Below are 23,765 nucleotides of genomic sequence, written 5' to 3'. Positions count from 1 at the left end.
CAGGGAGGGGGCAAGAGAAGCTTCCCTTGAGTTTCCTGGAAGGATCAGGAGTTGGACTGGCAAAGGAGGCAGGTAGAGGAAGACAGAGATTAGGCAGAAGCAGGCAGTGGAGTAAGAACAGGGTGTTGGAGGAACTAGGCTGAGGTCTCTGCCATCAAAGCCAGAGTTTAGATTTGGTCTCAATAAACGGGAAGCCCTGGCTGGATGTGGTGGCTCACACCTGTAATCCCAGCACTTTGGGAGGCTGAGGAGGGAGGATCATTTGAGCCCAGTGCTCAAGACCAGCCTGGGCAACACAGTGCGACTCCGTTTCTAAAAAAAAATATATAAAAATTAGCTGGGTGCGGGCTTGCACCTGTAGTCCCAGCTACTCTCCAGGAGTCTGAAGCTGCAGTGAGCTGTGACTGCACCACTAAATTCCTGCCTGGGCAACAGAGCAAAACTCTGGTCTCAAAACATAAAAATAAAATGTAAAATAAACAGGGAGCCCCGAGGATTCCGGGCAGGAGGGGGTGTGGTCAGCACTGGAATTTTAGAAGAAGGGCAGTTGGTAGCTGGGGGAAGGGGGTTCCACACTGGAAGGAGGGGGTCCAGGACTTGGACATGGTATAGGATGTGCCGCCTGCCAGTGGGACCTAGGACAGCAGGACCATCACTGAGGTGGCCACACGGGGAGGGGCAGGAGGGGACACCCTGCTCTTGGAGAGAAAGGGGGTGCCCATCCACCCCTGCTGTATGAAGGGGAAAGGGGGACTCTGAGGCCCAGCGAGAGAGGGGACGGGCCCAAGGGATTTGTGGACAGTGGGGGTGGGGGAGAGGGGAGCAGAGAGCACAGATAGGGACCTGGGGCAGATGTGAGTCTGGGAGGTTCGACCCCTGGCTAGACTGTTTCCCCAAAGGGTCCTCTGCTCCTTGGGCTGTACGCACTGCACTGGGCACTAGATACAGGCCAGGGCTTAGGGCACGGCGGCGCCTGTGGGATCGGGGTTGCAGGCGGCGTCCAGACCCAGGGGCCCCTGGTGAGGGGCGGGCCCGGGGAGGGGGCCATAAGGGGCTGGCTGGGGAGGGAGGGAGGGAGAGGCCAGGGAAGGGACAGGTTCCGAGTGGACGCTGGGTGGAGAGGAGAGGGAGAGTGGGGGCGGTGGGGGGTCGGGTCCGAGGCGGGGCTGGTGGGGAGGGGGGCATCCGGGGGCGAATCCGGGTAGGGGGTGAGGAGGCGGGTTCGGAAGGAATCGGGCAGGGCCCGGGTGGGTCCGGTGAGTAAGTGAGGGGACGATCCCCGGAAGGGATCGGGGCGGGTCGGGGTCCGGAGATGGGCGGAGCAGGCGTCCCGGGAGGGTGCGCCCAGGAGCGGGGCGAGCGGGGCGAGCGGGGCGGTCCCGGAGACGAGGCGGGTCCGGGGAGGGGGCTGGCCCGGGGCTGCCCCAGCTTGGCCGGGCGCGGAGCGGGGCGCATGGCGCCGGGCGCACTGCGCGGGGGCTGCGAACAAAGGGCCCCCGGCGGCGGCGCGAGGACGGCCGCGCTCGGACCCTGGCCCTGGCCCAGCCCTGGCCCGGCCCCCTCCCCAGGCGCGGCGCCCCCCAGGAGCCGAAAAATGAGCGGCGCCCTGCTCTGGCCGTTGCTCCCGCTCCTGCTCCTGCTGCTGTCGGCGCGGGACGGCGTGCGCGCCGCGCAGCCTCAGGCCCCGTGAGTATCCTCCGGCGACAGAGGAGGTCGGTCGCCTTCTGGGGTGGGGGTCGCGGGTACTGGCTCAGAGTGTTGCAGCGACCTGCCCAAGGCCACACAGCCTCCGCGCTGGGCTGGACCTGGCCTCTTGTTCCCGAATCGTCTTGAGGAGGGGGCGCCCTAAAGTTTCCGAAGTGGCTCTGTGGAGGTACAGGGACTCCCAAAAGCTAAAGGTGCTGAGGTCAGCTCCCCCCGCCCCACCTCGCCCCCTTCGTGTGACCCGGGCTGTCATCATGGGTGGCGATTTCCAGTTGTCCAAGGTATGAAGGTAAGAGGAGCGTCTTGGCTGAGAAGTGGGAGGAGAGTGCGAAGGGGCACTTTCCCGTGGGTGGGCGTGGTGAGGGAGGAGGAAGTGTTTGTTTTGCTTCTACATTTTTCTAGAGGTTTGCTTGCAGGCTTCTGGTGGGTTGACAGCGGGGAGAAGGTGAATTAACTAACTGCTGGGGAGTACTGCTAAGTTGGCTTCACAGAGAATATTTCTAAACCTGGCAAGTTCGGGTGAGCTCTGCAGGGCTGCGGGTTCAGGGGGGCTGCCCTGGTCTGCACAAGACCAGCCTTTTAGTCCAGCTGGGCGTTTAGAAGGCGGCTTGTTCAAGCAGCCCTTGTTTAGGAGTTTCCAGAAAACTGGTAAGCAGTGAGACTAGGTGGGTGTCGTTATTTGCAGTGAGTAGTTGGTCCTTGCTGGTCACAGTTTTAAAAGCAAGACAGTCTACTGCGCTCTGAGCATCCAGACTTCCCTCTCCTAGGCTTCGTGAAATCGGAACCCTACAAATTTTCATCCTAATGCTTCTTTCAAAGCTGGCATCCCTTAGAATAGTGGTTCTCAGCCCTGGGGGGGATTTTTGTCTCCCTGAGGCCGCTGGGAAATGTCTGGAGGTATTTTTGGTTGTCACAAATAGGGAGAGGCATTTGGTGTTGGCATTAAGTGGGTGCAGGCCAGGAATGCTGGTAAACAGCTTTCGATGTGCAGGTCAGCTTCCACTGCAAGGAATGACGCGGCCCCACATGACAGACCTTGGCTCCAATGAGAGACCCTGCCTTATACAGAGGTTTTTGTTTGTTGTTTGTTGTTTTTGGGGTTTGTTTTTGTTTTTGTTTTGAGATGGAGTTTTACTCTTGTTGCCCAGGCTGGAGTGCAATGGCACGATCTTGGCTTACTGCAACCTCCGCCTCCCAGGTTCAAATGACTCTCCTGCCTCAGCCTCCTGAGTAGCTGGGATTACAGGCGTGTGCCACCACACCCGGCTAATTTTTTGTATTTTTAATAGAGATGGGGTTTCTCCATGTTAGCCAGGCTGTTCTGGAACTCCTGACCTCAGGTGATCCACCCACCTCCGCCTCCCAAAGTGCTGGGATTAGAGGCGTGAGTCACCGTGCCTGGCCCGTTAGAGAGTTTTAAACAGTTCTCCAGGGCGTTTTCCTCTGACTAAAGTCACCCTGTGATCTTACCATCTGTTAAGTGACATGGAATCCCTGTGCTGAGAGACACACTGGGGAAGAGATGTCCCCAAATGACCGACCTGGGATTCCAGATTAGCTGGCCTCTAAGCCAGGGGCATGGTTCACCCAGCCCAAAGGATCTCGTCTTAGGAATAGCTCTGGATGCCCACTTCTGTCACCTGAGAGATTTTTGTGTGAGGAATCTCTGATCCCAGAAAGCAGCACAGTTTGCAGTTGTAAGAGCAATTCTGTCTACACTGACCCAGACATCCCTTTCCCCAATCTGGGACCTTCTGAGACCAGCAGGATGAGAAGCAGTGTTGGCCCAGATGCTAGGGGTGGGTCAGGTGTGACAGTGAATGGCTGGCAAGCATCCCAACAGCTGGAAACAGCTGCAACTTCTGAATGGCAGGGAAACTTAATTTGGTGATGTCAGTTTCTCTGGGCAGTTGGATGAAGACTTGAACCCGTATTGTCAGGAGTTTCAAAGGTGACCAAGCAAAATGAACACGTATTCCTTACTCTCTCTTCTACACTCACCATGTACTATATGTGAGGCCCGTCTAAACTCTAGGGATCAGCTGGGAGCCAGACAGAAAGAGTATTCCCCTTTTAAAGGATGCCACATTCCAGTGCTGGAGCTGGACAGGACACCTGGACAGGGTAATTGCATGTCCTGGTCAGTGCTGGAGTTATGTAATACACAGCACATACCCAGGGTCTTGCAAACTCCAGTTGGTCCTAGAGTTGGACAGCACATGTGTGATCCCAGGGGACTGAACTCTGGTAATTATTCAAGGCAGATGTAGCACACTATGATCACAGGGTCAGTGCACACTGTGGCCAGGGCTGCAGTAAACAACCCAAACCCATTGTTCGTGTGCATGAAACAACACAAACCCACTGCGTCTTTTGAGATGCAAAATTGGTAATGATGTTTTCATGAAGTTTGGTTTATCAGTGAGTTATTTTATGGATCTTATTTTTGGTATCTTACTCAAGAAATCTTTGCCTAATCTAAGCATGCAATGACTTTCTCCTTTGTTTTCTTCTAGTGTTTCTACAAGTTTTACTTCTTCAATTTAGATCTGTTACTAAGATTAACTTTGAGTTAATCTAATTGCATGGTGTGAGGTAATGTTCTCAATTCATCTTTTTGCATGTGGATGTTGGGTTGTTCTAGAGACACTATTGAGGCCAGGTGCAGTGGGCCTGTAATCCCAGCACTTTGGGAGGCCAAGGTGCGCAGATCACTTGAGGTCAGGAGGTCAAGACCAGCCTGGCCAACATGGTGGAACCCAGTCTCTACCAAAAATACAAAAATTAGCTGGGTGTGGTGGTGCACGCCTGTAGTCCCAGCTACTCTGGAGGCTGAGGCAGAAGAATCCCTTGAACCTGGGAGGTGGAGGGTACAGTGAGCTGAGATCACACCACTGCACTCCAGCCTGGGCAACAGAGCAAGACTCAGTCTCAATTAAAAATAAATAAATAAATAAATAAAAATAAAAAAAGAAAATATTGAAATGAAAATGTCTCCTAATCTCATTGCATGGTCCAGTTTCCCCCTTTACCCTCTTTTCTTCTGATTTCCATCATTCTACATGGTTGCAATTGTGGTGCCTTTGCTATAATGCTCTTGGTGATTGTGGGGACACTGTAAGCATTTCATGAGGTTACAGGGCCTTTGTAATTTTCCATGGAAGGCTGCAGATACTGGGAGACAGGAGCTCAGGTGGGGAGGACCTGGGCCCTCAGGTCAGGTCCCCTAAGGGCACCTCAGTGCCCTCTTCTGCCTGGCTGTGTGATCTGGTGCATGTTCCTATTCTTCTGAAGCATCAACTTCCCATGGGGAAACTGGGGGTAATGCCTCCCTTCCAGAGGTGACTTCATAGTCAATCAGAAGATTTTAGGAAAGAGAGGCCTGCTTTGATTCCATTGTTTTCAGAGCTCTTTTTGTTTGAGGCCCTATGGTTTGTTTTCAGGGTTTGTTCTTAAAATGAATGTTGCAAAGAAGCCCTTTGCTTCTTTTTATCAGGTTTTGGAGTCTGACCGCCTGAGTTAGAATCCTGGTCTGTCACTGTTGCGGCTGGTGACTTGACTTCTCTGGGGTTTCCTTTCTGACTTTCTAAATGGGGCTGATGTCAGCACTTCTCACGGTGGTGGGGGACGGGGTGCACCGTGAGGATGAAGTGGGATCCTGCCGGTTACCTGGCTTGTGGAGGAGAGTATTTCAGACAGTGGGCATGACATGTGCAAAGGTCCTGGGCCAGAAGGGCCAGGCGTGGTGGATCACACCTCTAATCCCAGAACTTTGGGAGGCTGAGGAGGGTGGATCATTTGAGGTCAGGAGTTTGAGATCATCCTGGCCAACATGGCAAAACCCTGCCTCTACTAAAAAGACAAAAATTAGCCGGCCGTGGTGGCAGGCACCTATAATCCCAGCTACTTGGGAGGCTAAGGCACGAGAATCCCTTGAACCCGGGAGGTGGAGGTTGTAGTGAGCCGAGATCATGCCACTGCACTCCAGCCTGGGGGACAGAGCAACACTCTGTCTCCAGGAAAAGAAAAAAAAAAAAAGGTCCTGGGGCAGAAGGAAGTAGCTGAGTCAACAGGCTGGAGGCCGGAATAGAGAGAGTAAGAGGGGTTGTGCAATGCTGAAAAATCCAGTGAGGCCAGATTCTTACCCAGCATGGGGACTTCACAGGTGAAAGAGCCAATCCATGGACTCAAGAACTGATGGGGGGGCACAGACTCCTAGAGCATCAATGCCAGCCAGGTGTGGTCAGCAAAAGGCAGGAGTCTGCTGCGAGGAGAGCCCTGACCTAGCTGTGGTGGCAGCGAGACCAGGGGTCTGGGGTGAGAACTTCACCTCGGATCTCCTTTCCTGCAGGGGTTACTTGATTGCAGCTCCCTCTGTTTTTCGCGCGGGCGTGGAGGAAGTCATCAGCGTGACCATCTTTAACTCTCCAAGGGAAGTCACGGTCCAGGCTCAGCTGGTGGCCCAGGGTGAGCCGGTGGTGCAGAGCCAGGGAGCCATCCTGGGTAGGTCCCTTGGGTGCCAGACCAGGACTTCCCCTTCTTTTGCAAAGTGGAGCCACTTGCTGGCCTTCAGGGCTGGGGCAGTGTGGGTGTTGCTTTGCTTCCCTTCTGCCCTAAATCCCCAGGGGCATGGGAGGGAGGGAGGGAAGACAGGTTGCATTCTCCTCATTCTACAGATGGAGAGAGAGTAAAGCCCAGGATGGGCAGCTCAGCTCATGGGTCCTCAGCAGCCCTGGTTCTGTGGGTGCAGATCTGGGCAGAGCACGGGCACCCACCTGTGTCAGCTTTGACCAGAGGTGGGACAGGGGACCTGAAGGAGATCACATGACCCCCCTCTGACCTTTTGTTGGGTTTCCAGCACACCTGAACCATTAGACTCAGACCTGGGCTCACAGGCCTGTTACTAAGTGCAGCTCAGGCCCTCAGCCAGTCTCTCCCCTTCACTCCTTGGTCAAATGCAGACAGCAACAGCCTCAGCCTCCTGGTCAAGATAGTGAATGCAGATCCCTGGCTCAGAAAGCTGTAATCTCCCAGGGGAGGTAGACTCATTCCTCATGCCGAGAATGATGTAGCCACAGGAGACACAGAGAAGGCCAGGGGCTCCAAGGCCAGTGAAGCAGCACTTGTCTCTTAGGGAGGTGTGGCCAGAGAAGGTGGAAATGTGGAAGCTTCTAGAACCTTCTAGAAGCCCTTCTAGTCCTAGAAGAACCAGGCACTCCTGACTTGGGTGGCTAGCCAACTGAAACCCAACCCAGTTGGCTTCTGCAACAGTTTGTGGTCTCTCATACCTAGAAAGAAAGTCCACTGGTATTGCTGGCCAGCTTCTCCCCCTACCTCTTGATGCAACCAGGTCTCTCCTTAAGATCAGGGGAAGCACCAGTCTCCCAAGATGGCTGGATAAAGTCCCAGGATTCCCTCTGATTGGCCTATCTTGGTTCATGTGCTCAACCCTGAGCCAATCACTATGACCAGAGGGGAAGGCCTATGCTGATTGGTTCATTTTGGGTCATGTGCTCAGCCCTGAACCAATCACTGTGACCAGGGGGAAGGCCTATGCAGATTGGCTCAGAGTCCCAGGAAGGTGGATGGAGAGCTTGGGAGCCACGTGCGTTGTGTGCTGGGCAGATAGCTTGTCCAAGGAAATTGAGGATCTGTTAGCAGGAAATGGGATAATGGTTGCTGGGAGGCAAAAATAATAGATACCTAATTGAGTCCTGGAGGCCAGAAACCTAGTACAGTAGCACAAATGATTTAGTGTGGGTAGCAGAGAGAGGTGATGGGAGAACAGTCAGGTCCACTGGGGACCTCAGTCCCCTCTTCTTTCTCTCCACCCTTCTCCTTGTTCCTCTCCCCTGGTGTTTTCCCATTACTCCCCTCACAGCTTAGTTTGGACAGGAGCCAGGGGTGAAGTAAATCAAGTACTTAGGCAGGCCAGCTTTGCCCTGAATAGCTCAGCTTTGTCCATTCCCTCTGGCCTTCAGCTTGTGCCAGCTTGGAGGAAACCTCTGGCTTCTGCCAGTCCTAGCCTGGCCCAGTCCAGGCCAGCATGACCCAGGGTGTGTTTGTCCACATGAAACCCCTTTGGGTTAAGAAAGTTTGTGGTTTGTGAGGCTGCAGCTCAGGGAGGCAGGGCAACACAGCTCTTGATTTAACTTTTTTCATTTTATTTTCATTTTTAGATAAAGGGACAATCAAACTCAAGGTAAGCCGTTGATTTTTAAAATCATAAACCTGACCTTGGAAATAAAGAATTGAATTGGGCCAGGCGTGGTGGCTCACACATGTAATCCCAGCACTTTGGAAGGCCGAGGTGGGTGGATCACCTGAGGTCAGGAGTTCGAGATCAGCCTGGGCAACATGGTGAAACCGCATCTCTACTAAAAATACAAAATTAGCCAGGCGTGGTGGCACATGCCTGTAATCCCAGCTACTCGGGAGGCTGAGGCAGGAGAATCGCTTGAACCTGGGAGGCGGAGGATGCTGTGAGCCGAGATTGCACCATTGCACTCCAGCCTGGGCAACAAGAGTAAATCTCCGTCTCACCAAAAAAAAAAAAAAAAAGAAAAGAAAAAAAAAAAAGAATTGAATTGGGATGGAATAAGAGAAATTGCATGTGTTGTGAGAAAAATCATTTTTAAAAAAGAGATGTAAAAAATGAATAATGAGGCTGGGTGCCATGCTCACATCTGTAATCCCAGCACTTTGCGAGGCTGAGGTGGGTTGATCTCTGGAGCCCAGGAATTCAAGGCCAGCCTGGAAAACATGGTAAAATCCTGTCTCTACAAAAAAAAAAAATACAAAAATTATCCATTAGCTAGGCATGGTGGTTCACGCCTGTTCTCACAACCACTTGGGAGGCTGAGGTAGGAGGATCGCTTGAGACTGGGAGGTTGAGGCTGCAGTGAACTATGATCGCACCACTGCACTCCAGCCTGGGCAACAGAGTGAGGCCCTATTTAAAAAAAAATGAGAGAATAATGAAATTTAGAAAAGGAGAAATCCACCGATAATCCAGTTTTCATACTTTTCACTTTTTCATGTTTTCCACACATTCTTGTTCATGCACATACATTTTCTTTTCATAGTTTCAGTTAAAGGACACACACCACTGGCCGGGCGCAGTGGCTCATGCCTGTAATCCTAGCACTCTGGGAGGCCGAGGAGGGTGGATCACCTGAGGTCAGGAATTTGAGACCAGCCTGGTCAACATGGCAAAACCCCATCTCTACTAAAAATACAAAAGTTAACTGGGCATGGTGGCGCACACCTGTAATCCCAGCTACTCGGGGGCTGAGGCAGGAGAATTGCCTCAACCCATGGGACGGAGGTTGCAGTGAGCCAAGATCTCACCACTTCACTCCAGCCTGGGCAACAGAGTGAAACTCCGTCTCAAAAAACAAAACAAAACAAAACATAACAAAAGAAAACAAAACACCGTGGTGTTTCCTAGTCCCTCTTATCACACTGTTGTAAACAACTTCCATGTTTCCAAGTCTCTGTAATTGGAATTTCCATTTCATTGTAAGCAGCATCCTATTGCACCCCTCTTAAATATCAGTTTGCTAAGCCCCCAGCTAGATTTTTTCTAGATTGTTTCAGTGGTTTTTTTTTTCTTTTTTTTTTTTGAGATGAAGTCTCACTCTGTCTCCCAGGCTGGAGTGCAATGGTACAATCTCAGCTCACTGCAACCTCTGACCCTGGTTTCAAGCGATTCTCGTGCCCCAGCCTCCCAAGTAGCTGGGACCTCAGGCATGCACCATCAAGACTGGCTAATTTTGTGTGTGTGTGTGTGTGTGTGTGTGTGTGTGTGTGTGTATTTTTAGTAGAGATGGGGTTTTACCATGTTGGCCAGACTGGTCTGAAACTCCTGACCTCAAGTGATCCACCCACCTTGGCCTCCCAAAGTGCTGAGATTACAGGCATGAGCCACCCTGCCTGGGCTGTTTTCAGTGTTTTGATACTGTAATCCTTAAGTCGCCAGAATGTTTGTATGTAAAGCCATATTAGCATTCTGGATGCCTTCTTTAGGCTAAACAGCCAAATTGAAGAATTACCAGCAGGACCCAAGCCTCTCACTGGGTCTTGCTGTGTCCTGGAATACACAGCAGTACCTGTTCATGGAACCACCTGCAGTACATTAGGGATCAGATTTCTCCACTGCCTCTCAGACATTGAATATTGTTATTTTTAAATTATTATATGTACCAAACTATGTAAATAATTTTATGACATGGGTTTTCAAACTGGAGTCCTTGGATTTCAGATATTATGTAAGCCCTGGAATTGCGGCATTTGGGGGGTTAGCTATTCCTTAACTTTTACCACATGCTCAAAGGAGTCTACGAATGAATGGGCTAAATTGAGAATTATTTTAAATTATAAGGCGCCCATCTCCATTGATCAGAATGGAGGCTGAGATAGTTCCTTTTGTATGAGGTATACCACTAGTGCCTATTTGCTGCAGGACAGTGGTCTTCCTGCCTTACTTTTTTTTTTTTTTTTTAAGCAGTCTTGCTTTTTCTCCCAGGCTGGAGTGCAGTGATGCAATCTTGGCTCACTGCAACCTCCGCTTCCTGGGTTCAAGTGATTCTCCTGCCTCAGCCTCCCCAGTAGCTGGGATTACAGGTGTGCACCACCGTGCCCAGCTAATTTTTTTGTATTTTTAATAGAGATGGGGTTTCATCATGTTGGCCAGGCTGGTCTCAAACTCCTGACCTCAGTTGATCTGCCCACCTCAGCCCTCCCAAAGTGTTGGGATTACAGGCGTGAGCCACAGCACCTGGCCCCTCCATTACATTTGATGATAGAACCCTTTCTCTAAGGCAGCAGTTCTCACTCAAGGGGGCTTTTGCCCTACAGGGCACATTTCGTAAAGTTTGGAGACATTTTTGGTTGTCACAGCTGGGTTGGGGCTGGGCGGTGCCAGGTGCTACTGGCATCTGGTGGGTGGAGGCCACAGCTGCAACTCAACATCTTACAATGCGCAGGATCCCTTACAGCAAAGAAGGATGTGGCCCCAGAAGTCCACATTCAGGAAACCCTGAACCAAAACCCTAGAGCAGCAGTCCCCAACCTTTTTGGCACCAGGGACCAGTTTCATGGAAGACAGTTTTTTCCACGGACCAGGGAGCAGAAGAAATGGTTTCAGGATGATTCAAGGGCATTCCATTTATTGTGTGCTTTATTTCTATTATTATTACACTGTAATATATAACGAAATAATGATATAACTCACCATAACTGAAGAAACAGTGCAAGCCCTGAGCTTGTTTTCCTTCAACTAGATGGTCCCACCTGGGGGTGATGTGAGACAGTAACAGATCATCAGGCATTAGATTGTCATAAAGAGCATGCAATCTAGACCCCTCCCATGCACAGTTCACAATAGGGTTCACACTCCTATGAGAATCTAATGCCACCACTGATCTGATGGGAGGCGGAGCTTAGGCAGTAATGTGAGTGATGGGGAGCGGCTGTAAATACAGATGAAGGTTCATTTGCTCACCCACTGCTCACCTCCTGCTGTGTAGCCCCATTCCTAACAGGCCATTGACTGGTACCAGTCTGTGGCCCAGGGGTTGAGGGTCCCTGCCCTAGGGCTTCAATGCCTACAGAAGCATAAGGAAAAAAGAAAAAAAAAAAAAGACCCTAGAACTCCCTTTCCTGGCTTCCTGTGATTGGATTTCTTTTCCTCCCTCCTCCCTTCCTTCCTCTCTCTCTCTCCTGCCTTTCCTTTGTGTGATTAGATTTTTCTCTCTCTTTCTCTCTTTTTGGAGACAGAGTCTTGCTCTGTCGCCCAGGGTGGAGTGCAGTGGCACGATCTCAGCTCACTGCAACCTCTGCCTCCTGGGTTCAAGTGATTTTCCTGCCTCAGCCTCCTGAGTAGCTGGGACTGCAGACGCCCCCACCATGCCCAGCTAATTTTTGTATTTTCAATAGAGGTGGGGTTTCACCATGTTGGCTACTGTGGTCTCAAACTCCTGACCTCAAGTGATCCACCTGCCTCAGCCTCCCAAAGTGCTGGCATTACAGGTGTGAGCCACTGCACCCAGCCTAGATCTGCTTTCTTATGAGTCAGGAAGCCATTTCCCTGGAGCAGGTGTTAAGATGATGTGCAGTCCCTGGCCACCACACGTTAGAAGACACTCTTCACAGCACAGATGCTGGGAATTTGTAAGAGAGACTAACAAAGGGTTGTATAATTCTGGGAGAGGGGCCAAGGGCTCTTAAGACTAGACTTGAGATTCCCAAGAAAGATGCTTAAGATCCTTAGCATTTGGCCAGGCACAGTGACTGGTGCCTGTAATCCTAGCTACTTGGGAGGCTGAAACTGGAGGATCGCTTGAGGCCAGGAGTTGGAGACCAGCCTGGGCAACATAGTTGAGAGCCTGTCCCCTGTCTCTACAAACTGAAAATAAAAAATTAGCCGGGCATGGTGGCCTGCACCTGTAGTCCCAGCCACTCAGTAGGCCAAGGTAGGAGGATTGCTTGAGTCCAGGAGATCGAGGTTGCAGTGAGACGTGATCGCACCACAGCACTCTAGTCTGGGCAACAGAGCAAGAGCCTGTCTTTAAACACGGAAAGAAGGCTGGAGGTCCTTCTTGCCTTCTCTCCCTGTGGGAGGCATCCTCTTCCCTGGGAAGGTGTGAAGCTCTAGGGGCTGCCGTTTGGGGTCGGCCCCCTTTATGTGCTCAGCATAGTCTCTTGCCCGCCAGCCTCCCTGTCCCTCCAGCATACGGTCCTCAGCACCTCCGGTATCTCCCTCCTGCCCATCCTTGCCCTGCTCTTGGGTGGCCGGGACCTTTCCTCCCTCTTCAGCCTCTGGCCAGTGTTGAGATATTTCCAGAAACAGGGCCAGGTGAGGATTTTGGGATTGGAGTAGTGGGTGAGGTTTATTGCTTTGGTTGGTCTTGACGGGGAAACTGCAGTCAGAAGAGACCTCACAGGTCCAGAAGGCTGGTCCTGCGGGTGGCAGGTAGGAGAGGTCCCTCTGAGGCTGTTCAGAGCAGACAGGAGGTGGGTGGCTGGAGAGAGGGCTGGGACGGACCCCGTGTGGCTTCAGAGAGCGGGGGTCCTAGTGCACCCCGACCTCACCCACACAATGGTCATGACAGTGCAGAACTGTGATGATCAGTCAGATAATCTGGTAGATTGTTCCCCGTGATGGTCACCAGGGTCCATCCACCCCTTGAGGGACCACATGAGTAGATGCTGACATAGGGGTCCTCAGAAGAGGAACACCCCACAGTTGGATAGTTTTATTTTTACATTTTTTTTATTTTTTATTTTTTGAGATGGAGTCTCACTCTGTCACCTAGGCTGGAGTGCAGCTGTACCATCTCAGCTCACTGCAACCTCTGCCTTCTGGGTTCAAGCGATTCTGCTGCCTCAGCCTCCTGAGTCGCTGGGACTATAGGCGCCTGCCATCACACCTGGCTAATTTTTGTATTTTCAGTAGAGACGGGGCTTCGCCATGTTGGCCAGGCTGGTCCCGAACTCCTGACCTCAGGTGATCTGCCCACCTCAGCCTCCCAAAGTGCTGGGATGACAGGCGTGAGCCACTGTGCCCAGCCATTTGGGTGGTTTTAGGAACAGGTGGGTGCACATAGCTCCCCAGGTGATCTGCTTGGAGGTAATGTCCACCTGCTGGGTGCCCAGGGATGGCTGAGAGGGTAACTATCATCAAATACCGGTCACATAGAGGGAGGTAATATGGTTTGGTTGTGTCCCCACCTAAATCTCATCTTGAATTGTAGCTCCCATAATTTCCACACGTTGTGGGAGGGACCCAGAGGGAGATAATTGAATCATGGGGTGGTTTCCCCCATACTGTTCTCATGGTAATGAATAAGTCTCACAAGAGCTGATGATTTTATAAGGGGAAACCCCTTTTTGCTTGGCTCTCATTCTCTCTTGCCTGCCACCATGTAAGACGTGCCTTTCACCTTTCGCCATGATTGTGAGACCTCCCCAGCCACGTGAAACTGTGAGTCCATTAAACCTCTTTTTCTTTATAAATTACCCAGTCTCGGGTATGTCTTTATCACCAGTGTGAAAACAGACTAATACAGGAGGCATTACTTTTGTTTGTTTTAAGCATGAAAGGAGCTTTTATAGTGCATGACTCACATGCCAGGGCGTTCTGCCCATCTGCTTAAAAAAAAATAAGAGGACGGCCAGGTGCCATGGCTCACACCTGTAATCCCAGCACTTTGGGAGGCTGAGTCGGGAGGATCACATGAGCCCAGGAGTTTGAGCCCAGCCTGGGCAACATAGTGAGACCCCATCTCTACCAAAAAATAAAATAAAATAAATTAGCTGGGCATGGTGGTGCATGCCTGCAGTCCTGGCTTCTCAGTAGGCTGAGGCAGGAGGATCGCATGAGCCCAGGAGTTTGAGGCTGTAGTGAGCTCTGATCGCACCATTGGACTCCAGTCTGGCGACAGAGCAAGATATTGTCTCTAAAAACAAAAGAAAGAAAGAGAAAGAGAAAGAAAGAAAGAAGGGAGGGATGGAGGGAGGGAGGGAGGGAAGGAATGTGTAGTGTAGGAAGGATGGAAGGAAGGAAGAAAGAAAGGAAGGGAGGGAGAGAGGGAGGGAGAGAGGGAGGGAGGGAATGTGTAGTGAAGGAAGGAAGGAAGGAAGGAATTGTGTAGTGTAGGCTCCATCCTGAAGACTGAAGTGGTTTTTTTTTTTCTCCCATCTGTGTGGCAAAAACACAAACCAAACCAACAAAAAAGCCATCTAACCATTCTAAAACATATAATTCCGTGGCATTTACTACATTGACAGGGTTGTGCAATGCCCCCCCATCTAGTTCCAGAACATTTTTATCCCCGCAAAAGAAGACCCTGTCCCCATCAGTAGTCACTCCCCACTCCCTTCTCCCAGCCCCTAGCAACCACCCATCTGATTCCTGTCTCTGTGGATTGCCTTTTCTGGACAATTCAGATCAATGGAGTCATGCACTATATATGTGTTGTGATTTTTATTTTATTTTATTTTATTTTATTTTATTTTTTGAGGCGGAGTCTCGCTCTGTCATCCAGGCTGGAGTTCAGTGGTGTGATCTCAGCTCATGGCAACCTCTGCCTCCCAGGTTCAAGTGATTGGTGTGCCTCAGCCTCCAGAGTAGCTGGAACTACAGGTGCCTGACACACACCTGGCTAATTTTTTTTGTATTTTTTGTAGAGACAGGGTTTCACCATGTTGGCTGGGCTGGTCTTGAACTTCTGGCCTCAAGCCATCTGCCCACCTCGGCCTCCCGAAGTGCTGGGATTACAGGTGTGAGCCATCGCGCCTGGCTTGTGCTGTGACTTTATTTGTATTATTTGTTTATTTATTTTTTTTGGAGATGGAGTTTCACTCTTGTCACCCAGGTTGGAGTGCAATGTTGCGATCTGGGCTCAATGCAACCTCTGCCTCCTGGGTTCAAGCAATTCTCCTGCCTCAGCCTCCCGAGTAGCTGGGATTACAGGTGCCCACCACCACAGCTGGCTAATTTTTGTACTTAGTAGAGATGGGGTTTTGCCATGTTGGCCAGGCTGGTCTTGAACTCCTGACCTCAGGTGATCCGCCCACCCCAGCCTCCCCAAAGTGCTGGGATTACAGGTGTGAGCCATTGCGCTCAGCCTGTGCTGCGATTTTAGAGTGAGGCAAACACAGACACATATACATGATAGATATATCTGGACATGTACATATGTATATCAAGGGATCCAGGTCTCCTTCCACCGCTCACAGGCTGTGAATTCACTTGGCAAGAAGGGAGACAGTTCTTGTAACTCTCCAGTGATGATGACAGAAAACAGCTTTGCAACTCTGTTGAGTCAGAAGAGAAGGCTCCATAACTAGACCAGTGTTTCTCAGCCTCAGCATGGCTGAAAGCTGGGGCAGGCTTGGCACAGTGGCTCACGTCTGTAATCTGAGGCTGAGGTGGGAGGATCGCTTGAGCCCAGGAGTTTGAGACCAGCCTGGGCAATAGAGTGAGACCTTGTTTCTACCAAAAATAAACAAAATAAGCCTGGCTTGGTGGTGCATGCCTGTAGTCCCAGCTCTTTGGGAGGCTGAGATGGGAGGATTGCTTGCGCCCAGCAGGCCAAGGCCGCAGTGAGCCATAATTGCACCACTGCACTCCAGCCTGGGCAACAGAGATAAACCCTGCCTGAAAAAAAAAAAAAAAGAAAGAAAGAAAGAAAGAAAGAAAAAAGATATGGCCGGGTGCAATGGCTCACGCCTATAATCCCAGTACTTTGGGAGGCTGAGGCAGATGGATTGCTTGAGCCCAGGAGTTCAAGACCAGCCTGGCCAACATGGTGAAACCCCGTTTCTACTAAAAACATAAAAATTAGCCAGGCATGGTGACACACACCTGTAATCCCATCTACTCAGGAGGCTGAGGTGGGAGAATCATTTGAGCTGGGAGACAGAGGTTGCAATGAGCTGAGATAGTGCCACTACACTCCAGCCTGGGCGACAGAGTAAGCCTTGTCTCCAAAAAAAAAGATATTTGGGGCAGTTTGCCAAGGGCGGGGGTGTCCTGTGCTCTGTAAGATGTTGAGCAGCCTCTCTATTCCCCTCTCAAGTGACAGTAGCAATCCCCACCCCCAAAGCTATGACACCCCAAAACATCTCCAGAAACTGCCAAGTGTCCCCCTGGGGCACAGTCACTCCTGGGGTGAGTTCCCCCTGTTCCAGGCCTCCAAACTCCTTCCCCAGTATCTTGGCCCATTCCAGGGTGAATTCTTGTCCCAAAGCTCCTTCCTCTGCCTGCAGGTGCCCACGGGCCTCCGGGGCCAAGCGCTTCTGAAAGTGTGGGGCCGCGGCTGGCAGGCGGAGGAGGGGCCCCTCTTTCACAACCAGACCTCGGTGACCGTGGACGGCCGGGGCGCTTCTGTATTCATCCAGACGGACAAGCCTGTGTACAGACCCCAGCACCGAGGTGAGTGGCCAGCATGGATGCAGGGAGGGCCGGCCATGGTCTGGAGGTGTCACACGCCTCTCTTCTTTCTTCTAGTGCTCATAAGCATCTTCACCGTCTCTCCAAATCTGAGGCCTGTCAACGAGAAGGTGAGATCAGCTTCTAAAACCGCGGGCCCGGAGTGCACCCACTTGGGACTACCTGGCCAGGGCCACCATCGGAAACGGGTCTTTCTCTCCAGAACTTCTCTTTTCTATTTTCTTTCATGGTTGTTTCATGTCCCCCGGAGAACCCCAGGGAGTTCTTTGTGACAGAGGAAGGCTGGTGGGCGTGCCTGGCCCACTGCCCCTCAACAAGGAATGCCTTTGAGGGCTTTAGGTAGCCCTGGACTGTTGCTTAATTTTTTTTTTTTCCCCAAGACCGAGTCTCTCGCTCTATTGCCAATGCTGGAGTGCAGTGGCACTATCTCGGCTCACTACAACCTCTGCTTCCTGGGTTCTAAGTGATTCTCTTGCCTTAGCCTCCCGAGTAGCCGGGATTATAGGTGCCCACCACCACGCCCGGCTGATTTTTTTTTCTGTTTTTTTTTTGAGATGGAGTCTTGCTCTGTCACCCAAGCTGAAGTGCAGTGGTGCGATCTTGGCTCACTGCGACCTCTGCCTCCCGGGTTCAAGCGATTCTCCTGCCTTAGCCTCCTGAGTAGTTGGGATTACAGGTGTGTGCCACCATGCCCAGCTGATTTTTGTATTTTTAGTAGAGATGGGGTTTCACCATGTTGGCCAGGCTGGTTTCAAACTCCTGACCTCAGGTGATACACCCGCCTCAGCCTCCTAAAGTGCTAGGATTACAGGTGTGAGCCACTGCACCTGGCTATATTTATGTGCTTTCTTTCTAGCGCTCTCTCTCTGTCTGTATATGTATATATACTTACAAAATTATTTTAATGGTAAATAATGTGAGAATAACTTACAGATACTGTGCCTCTCTGGCCCTGAACACTTGGCCTGTATCCTTTAAGAGCAAGGACGTTCTCTTATACAACTCAAGGAGGATCATCACATTTAAAAATTTTGAGGCTGGGCACAGTGTCTCACATCTGTAATCCCAGCACTTCGGGAGGCTGAGGCAGGAAGATCGCTGTGGCCAGGAGTCCGAGACCATTCTGGGCAACATAGCGAAACTGTCTTGACAAAAAATTAAAATAATAAAAATTAGTTGAGCATGGTGGCATGTGCCAGTAGTCCCAGCTACTTGGGAAGCTGAGTCAGGAGGATCTCTTGAGCCCAGGAGTTCGAGGCTGCAATGAGCTGTGATTGTGCCACTTGAACTCCAGCCCGGGCAGCAAAGCACAACCCTGTCTCTACAAAAAACGAAAAACCAAAAAAAAAAGAGGAGGAAAATAATTTTGACATTGACACAATAATAATATCTAATATAAAATCCATGTTGTTCCAATAGTAACCTTTATAGCATGTTTCTTTGCTGGTCCAGGATCTGATCGTGGGTCATTTGTTGCATTTGATCATCATGTCTCTTGGTCTCCTTTAATTTGAATTAGTTCCTCACTGCCTTTCTGTGTCTTCCATGACATTGACATTTTTGGCAAGTCCAGGCAGTTGTTTTGCAGAACGCCCCTTGGTAGGATGGTCTCCTGGTTCCTTGTGACCAAGTTCAGTCTGTGAATCTCGGGCAGGATCCACAGAAGCAATACTGGATCCTCCCCGGTGCCTTGTATCAGGAGGCACCCAGCATGGGTTTGTCGTGTTGCTGGGGACATTAACAGGGTCCAGTGGTTCAAGTAGTGCCTGCCTGGTTTCCCCATTTCTTTTTTTTTTTTTTGAGACGGAGTCTCGCTGTGTCACCCAGGCTGGAGTGCAGTGGCGCAATCTCCGCTCACTGCAAGCTCTGCCTCCTGGGTTCATGCCATTCTCCTGCCTCAGCCTCCCGAGTAGCTGGGACTACAGGCACCCACGACCATGCCCGGCTAATTTTTTCTATTTTTTGTAGAGACGGGATTTCACGGTGTTAGCCAGGGTGGTCTCAATCTCCTGACCTCGTGATCCACCCGCCTTGGCCTCCCAAAGTGCTGGGATTACAGGCATGAGCCACCTGTAATGAGTCTTTCTAAAGACCCTACTTGGGGTTAGGATTCAACGGATGTAATCTAGGGGGACACTGTTTAACCCATAACAGCGACTGCCTGTCCCGGGGACCGAGGCCATGCATGAGCATGTTGAAAGGGTTTGGGGTTTGCTGGAAGATTTGCTCACTGCATCTGTGTCTTCATTACAGCTGGAAGCCTACATCCTGGTGAGTGGCCTCTGTCCTTCCTCGGCTTGGACTTGGGGCCCGGGTAGCCCACCTTCTGCAAGATCTGGTCTGTCTTCGCTCACTGTCTGCCTTCTGGGTTGAGCCGCTGTGCCTTACAAGGCTGGGACCTGGCCTCTTCTATCCTGGTCCCTGGGTCCGCCCTGGGATGGGCTGTGTGTGTGTCTGTCCGTTTCCTTTTTTTTTTTGAAATGGAGTCTCGCTCTATCACCCAGGCTGGATTGCAGTGGTGCTGATCTTGGCTCACTGCAACCTCTGCCTCCCGGGTTCAAGCGATTCTCCTTCCTCAGCCTCCCGAGTAGCTGAGACTACAGGCGTATGGCACCACACCCAGCTAATTTTTTTTTGTATCTTTTTTAGTGGAAATGGGGGTTTCACCATGTTGGCCAGGCTGGTCTCAAACTCCTGACCTCAGGTGATCCGCCCACCTTGGCCTCCCAAACTGCTGGGATTACAGGTGTGAGCCACCACACCCAGCCACGTCCATTTCTAGGTTTGTACACGGCTCCCTAAATGAGGAGGTAGGCCCAGCCCATCCCCTTCTGCTTTTCAAATCCTTCTCTATCCAGAGCTTTTTTTTTGCCCCGGGGTTAATGATTAATCTTGGGACCTTCGCTGCATGGTTGACATGCCCAAGAGAGAGGACTGGGAAAATCCTTACATTGGGCACATGCTAGGCTAGCCTGAGTTCACTCCGTGTGTCTGTCCCCCTCCACCACCAACAGGACCCCCGAGGCTCTCGGATGATAGAGTGGAGACACTTAAAGCCGTTCTGCTGCGGTAAGTTTCTTCCTCTGCGGCTTGGGGGCTGCAGATGTGATAAACCTTCCAGGAAAACAGAATATGCTCTGTCCAGGGCCCACCGCTAATGTACCCCCACTGCTGCTCCAGCTGGAGGGGACCAAGGAGGAGCGGAGGGCAGGTACCCACCTGGGAGGTGACAATGCCATGGGTTTGGATCTGGGAGCCTCAGCCCAGCCCACAGCACCTTCCCTGTGGATTTGGACCCTCTGCCCACGTTTCTCTATGCCCAGGACTCAGGCGGGGCTCCTGCTCAGAACTCAAGACCTTTGTGGAATACTGGGGCACCTGCTCTCACCTTGTTTTTTATTTTTTGAGACAGAGTCTCTCTCTGTCACCCAGGCTGGAGTGCAGTGGCACAATCTCAGCTCACTGCAACCTCTGCCTCCCGGGTTCAAGAGCGTCTCCTGCCTCAGCCTACCGAGTAGCTGGGATTACAGGTGCATGGCACCACGCCTGGCTTATTTTTGTATTTTTAGTAGAGATGGGGTTTCACCATTTGGCCAGGCTGGTCTCCAACTCCTGACCTCTCAGGTGATCCACCCGCCTTGTCCTCCCAAAGTGGTGGGATTACAGGCGTGAGCCACCACGCCCGGCCTGCTCCCAGCTTCTTCCTGCTATAGGTTGCAGATTTTATCATCCCCATTGCATGAGATATTTCTTTTCCAGCTAGAAGTCAGAAAGGACTTTGCTTTTTTCTTTTCTTTTCCTATGACTAGGAAGACTGTGTAATTGACATACCCCACTTTGCTTTGCCTGTGAGGGGTGTGATGCCCCAGGAGAGGGCAGGGGATAGGTAGGGTGTGGGGAGTCTGGGGATGGCCATGCACACACCCAGGCTGTCCAGAAATGGGGTAACAGTAGAGCCACAGGCAGGATCACGGGGGTCTGTTGGTGACCCTTCCTCCTTCTGTCTCCTGCCTTGGGTCTCAGCCTCTTTTCTTCTTCTTCATCTTCCTTCTTTCTTGTTCTTTCTTCTTCTCCTTCTCTTCGTCTTATTCTCCCTCCTCCTCCTCCTTCTTCTTCGATCTTCCTTCTTCTTTCCTCCTCCTCCTCCCCCTCTCCTCCTGCTTCTTCTTCCTCCTTCCTCCTTCTTCTTTCTTCTTCTTCCTCCTTCTCCTTTTTCTTTTCTTCTTCTTCTTTTTTTTTAAAATACAGTCTTGCTATTGTCACCCAGACTGGAGTGCAGTGGCACGATGTCGGCTCACTGCCACCTCCGCCTCCCGGGTTCAAGCCATTCTCCTGCCTCAGCTTCCCAAGTAGCTGGGATTACAGGCACGTGCCACCAGGCCTGGCTAATTTTTGTATTTTTAGTAGACACAGGGTTTCACCATGTTGGCCAGGCTGGTCTTGAACTCCCAAACTCAGGTGATCCGCCCGCCTCGGCCTCGGAAAAGTGCTGGGATTACAGGCATGAGCCACCGTGCCTGGCCTCAGCCTCTTTTCTTCTGTTCCATCTTCCCTGTCTGCCTTCTTTACTCCCTCTCGTTCCCTTGATTGCTGTCTTTGTATCAGCAGCTATTTGTTGGGCGCCACATAGATACTGCCATGGGGTGAGCTTTCAACCCAATGGGGGAAGCAAACATGAACTAAACAGCCTGGATAATGTCAGTTGTGATGAGTGCTAGGAAGGAGAAGTTCAAAACTCAGAGATGGCAAATGGGGCTCTATCCCAGCCCGGGGTGGCAGAGGCAATCCTGGAAGGCTGCCTGAAGGAGGATCCTTTTCAGCAACAAAGAAGGAACGGGGGACAGCCAGGCAAAGCAAGGGGGCCAGGAAGCATCTCCCAGGCAGGGAGTCAACTTATGGGAAGGGCTGTGGATGTCTAGGGTAGTGAGGTTGGAGATGGGGGACAGGAGAGAGATGTTGAGTGCTGAGAGCAGGGGTGACACTGGCAAGAGCCAGGGAAGAGAATGGATTTGATCTTTTTTTAAAAAGTTTTTTTTTTTTTTCTCAAGAGGCAGGTTCTCTCTCATTCTGTCACCTAGGCTGGAGTGCAGTGGTGTGATCATAGCTCACTGCAGCCTCTACCTCTTGGGTTCAAGTGATCCTCCCACCTCAGCCTCCCAAGTAGGTGGGACCACAGGCGCGTGCCACCAAGCCCAGCTAATTTTTTAAATTTTTGGTAGAGACAGGGTCTCAAGATGTTGCCTAGGCTGACTTGATCTTAAGAGCACAGAGTTGGGGAAGAGGTCAACCTCCTGTTTAAAAAAACCCTTTGAGGCCTGGCTTGGTGGCTCACACCTGTAATGCCAGCACTTTGGGAGGCTGAGGCGGGCAGATCACCTGAGGTCAGGAGTTCAAGACCAGCCTGGCCAACATGGGGAAACCCTGTCTCTACTAAAAATACAAAATTAGCTGGACATGGTGGCGGGTGCCTAAAGTCCCAGCTACTCAGGAAGCTGAGGCACAAGAATCTCTTGAACCCGGGAGTGAAGGTTGCATGAGCTGAGATCATGCCACTGCACTCCAGCCTGGGCAAAAGAGCAAGACTCTGTCTCAAAAAAATAAAAAAAAAACCCTTTGGGATGTGTGTAGACCCATGATTCTCAACCAGGGTGACTGTGCCCCTCTCTCAGGGAGCACTTGGCAAAGTTGGCCACAGACCCCTTACAAAACACGTGCTCAGGACACACATCCCCGAATGTCCTGTAACCATCAAAGGCCCACTTTGCCTGAATATGAGGGGGAAAAAGCCATTTTAGCCATCACATCTTCTGACTCCAATGTGATTGAGAGAAGCCGTGGGCGCCGCTATGGGTTTTCGGTTCTGTCGTGAGACCCAGGGGAACCACTCTCCCTGTCCCTTCCCTGTATGGCCCTCCCCATATGATCATTGGGGACGAGTGGAGCGTGTCACACTCAGGAGTGGAAGATCCCCTGGCACTGCCTAGAGTCAATGTGCCCTTTCCAACTCCTCCATGGCTCCCAGTGAAAACAGCTGCGGACGGGGCTCAGAGGCACAGGCGCAAAGCAAATGACAGCTCCCATGTCAGCGGCTGATGGTGTTTCTGGGGGGATGTTTGGGGAGAGAGTGCTCTGTTCTAAAGTGTGTGCGTGCTCTAGTTCAGTTGGGGGGTGGTTCTCATGGAGGGGTGGGGGGTCGGACAGGCGATTCTGCCCCCAGGGGACATGGCAATGTCTGGGGACATTTTGGCTTGTCAGGACTTTTGTGGAGGACAAGGGGTGCAACTGGCATCTGGTGAGTGGAGGCCAGGGAAGATGCTCAGCACCCCTCAGTGCTCTGGGATTTCCACCAAGGGGTGACTTTGCCCCCTAGGGGCGATATTGGCAATGTCTGGGGGACTTTTTTAGGTTGTTATATTGTAGAGGGCATTGGTACTACTGACCTTTGGTGAGTGGAGGCCAGGGATGATGGTCAGCACCCCTCAGTTTACAGGATGCCCCCACACCACAATGAATGATCTGGCCCTAAATGTCAGTAGTGCTGAGGCTGAGAAACCCTATCCTGGCAGGAGACCCTGTCTGTCTTGTCTGTTTCTCTCTCTCTCTCTCTCTGTCTGTCTCTCTCTCTCTCTGGGATTTCCACCCAGGGGTGATTTTGCCCCCTAGGGGCGATATTGGCAGTATCTGGGGGACTTTTTTAGGTCGTTATATTGTGGGGGGCATTGGTACTACTGGCATCTGTTGGGTGGAGGCCAGGGGTGCTGCTCAGCATCCTACAGCTCACAGGACACCTCCACCCCAGAGAGCCACGTGGCCCCAGGTGTCAGTAGTGCCCAGGCTGGAAATGACTCGGGTGGCGGGGGATGGAGTGAATGAGCCGGGCTGGCTCATTTCCCTCGTTTGTCCAGCTCACTGCCTGCCCCTGGCCCTGGCTGCAAGGCTGTCCCGGGAACCGCGGGTCCAGTCCCTTCCTGCATCCCTTCGAAGCCCGCCGGGGTGTCAAACCTGCTCCGCTGGCCTGATCCTACAGGGTGCTGCTCTGCACAGACCCCGCCAGCTTCTCTGTGGTCTCCAGTTCTCCTGGGGGGCTGCTCAGGGAAGGAGA

At 51.7% G+C, this 23,765-nt stretch overlaps 1 protein-coding gene across 14 annotated transcripts in view, besides 1 other annotated feature; it reads left to right on the top strand.

The window, feature by feature from the left end:
* Positions 347 to 1,255: an enhancer, noted in NCBI's record as "H3K27ac-H3K4me1 hESC enhancer chr19:17137792-17138700 (GRCh37/hg19 assembly coordinates)". NCBI's record gives its function as "activates a minimal SCP1, AML or CMV promoter by ChIP-STARR-seq in primed H9 embryonic stem cells {active_cell/tissue: H9 hESC(primed)}" and the evidence as "EXISTENCE:reporter gene assay evidence [ECO:0000049][PMID:30033119]".
* CPAMD8 (C3 and PZP like alpha-2-macroglobulin domain containing 8) overlaps positions 1,427 to 23,765 on the top strand; it is a 133,860-nt gene continuing 111,521 nt past the window's right edge. For 10 of the 14 annotated variants that reach the window (NR_165644.1, XM_011527922.2, XM_011527921.4 and 7 more), the window contains exons 1-7: positions 1,427 to 1,686; positions 6,056 to 6,207; positions 7,884 to 7,906; positions 16,480 to 16,645; positions 16,721 to 16,773; positions 18,917 to 18,934; positions 19,678 to 19,732. Coding sequence is in view for 13 of the 14 variants with exons in the window: in XM_011527922.2 (XP_011526224.1) it covers positions 1,454 to 1,686; positions 6,056 to 6,207; positions 7,884 to 7,906; positions 16,480 to 16,645; positions 16,721 to 16,773; positions 18,917 to 18,934; positions 19,678 to 19,732 (700 nt within the window). In the remaining variant the exon portion in view is untranslated. Of the gene's footprint in view, positions 1,687 to 1,761; positions 1,994 to 2,104; positions 2,224 to 6,055; positions 6,208 to 7,883; positions 7,907 to 16,479; positions 16,646 to 16,720; positions 16,774 to 18,916; positions 18,935 to 19,677; positions 19,733 to 23,765 lie in introns of those variants that run through there. The other 4 variants (XM_011527917.2, XM_047438612.1, XM_047438613.1 and 1 more) reach the window with 3 other exon arrangements.

Source organism: Homo sapiens, chromosome 19 (genome assembly GCF_000001405.40).
Source record: "Homo sapiens chromosome 19, GRCh38.p14 Primary Assembly".
NCBI lineage: Eukaryota > Metazoa > Chordata > Mammalia > Primates > Hominidae > Homo > Homo sapiens.
The sequence above is the reverse complement of the archived record's forward strand: the minus strand, read 5'-3'. Positions and strand labels throughout refer to the sequence as shown.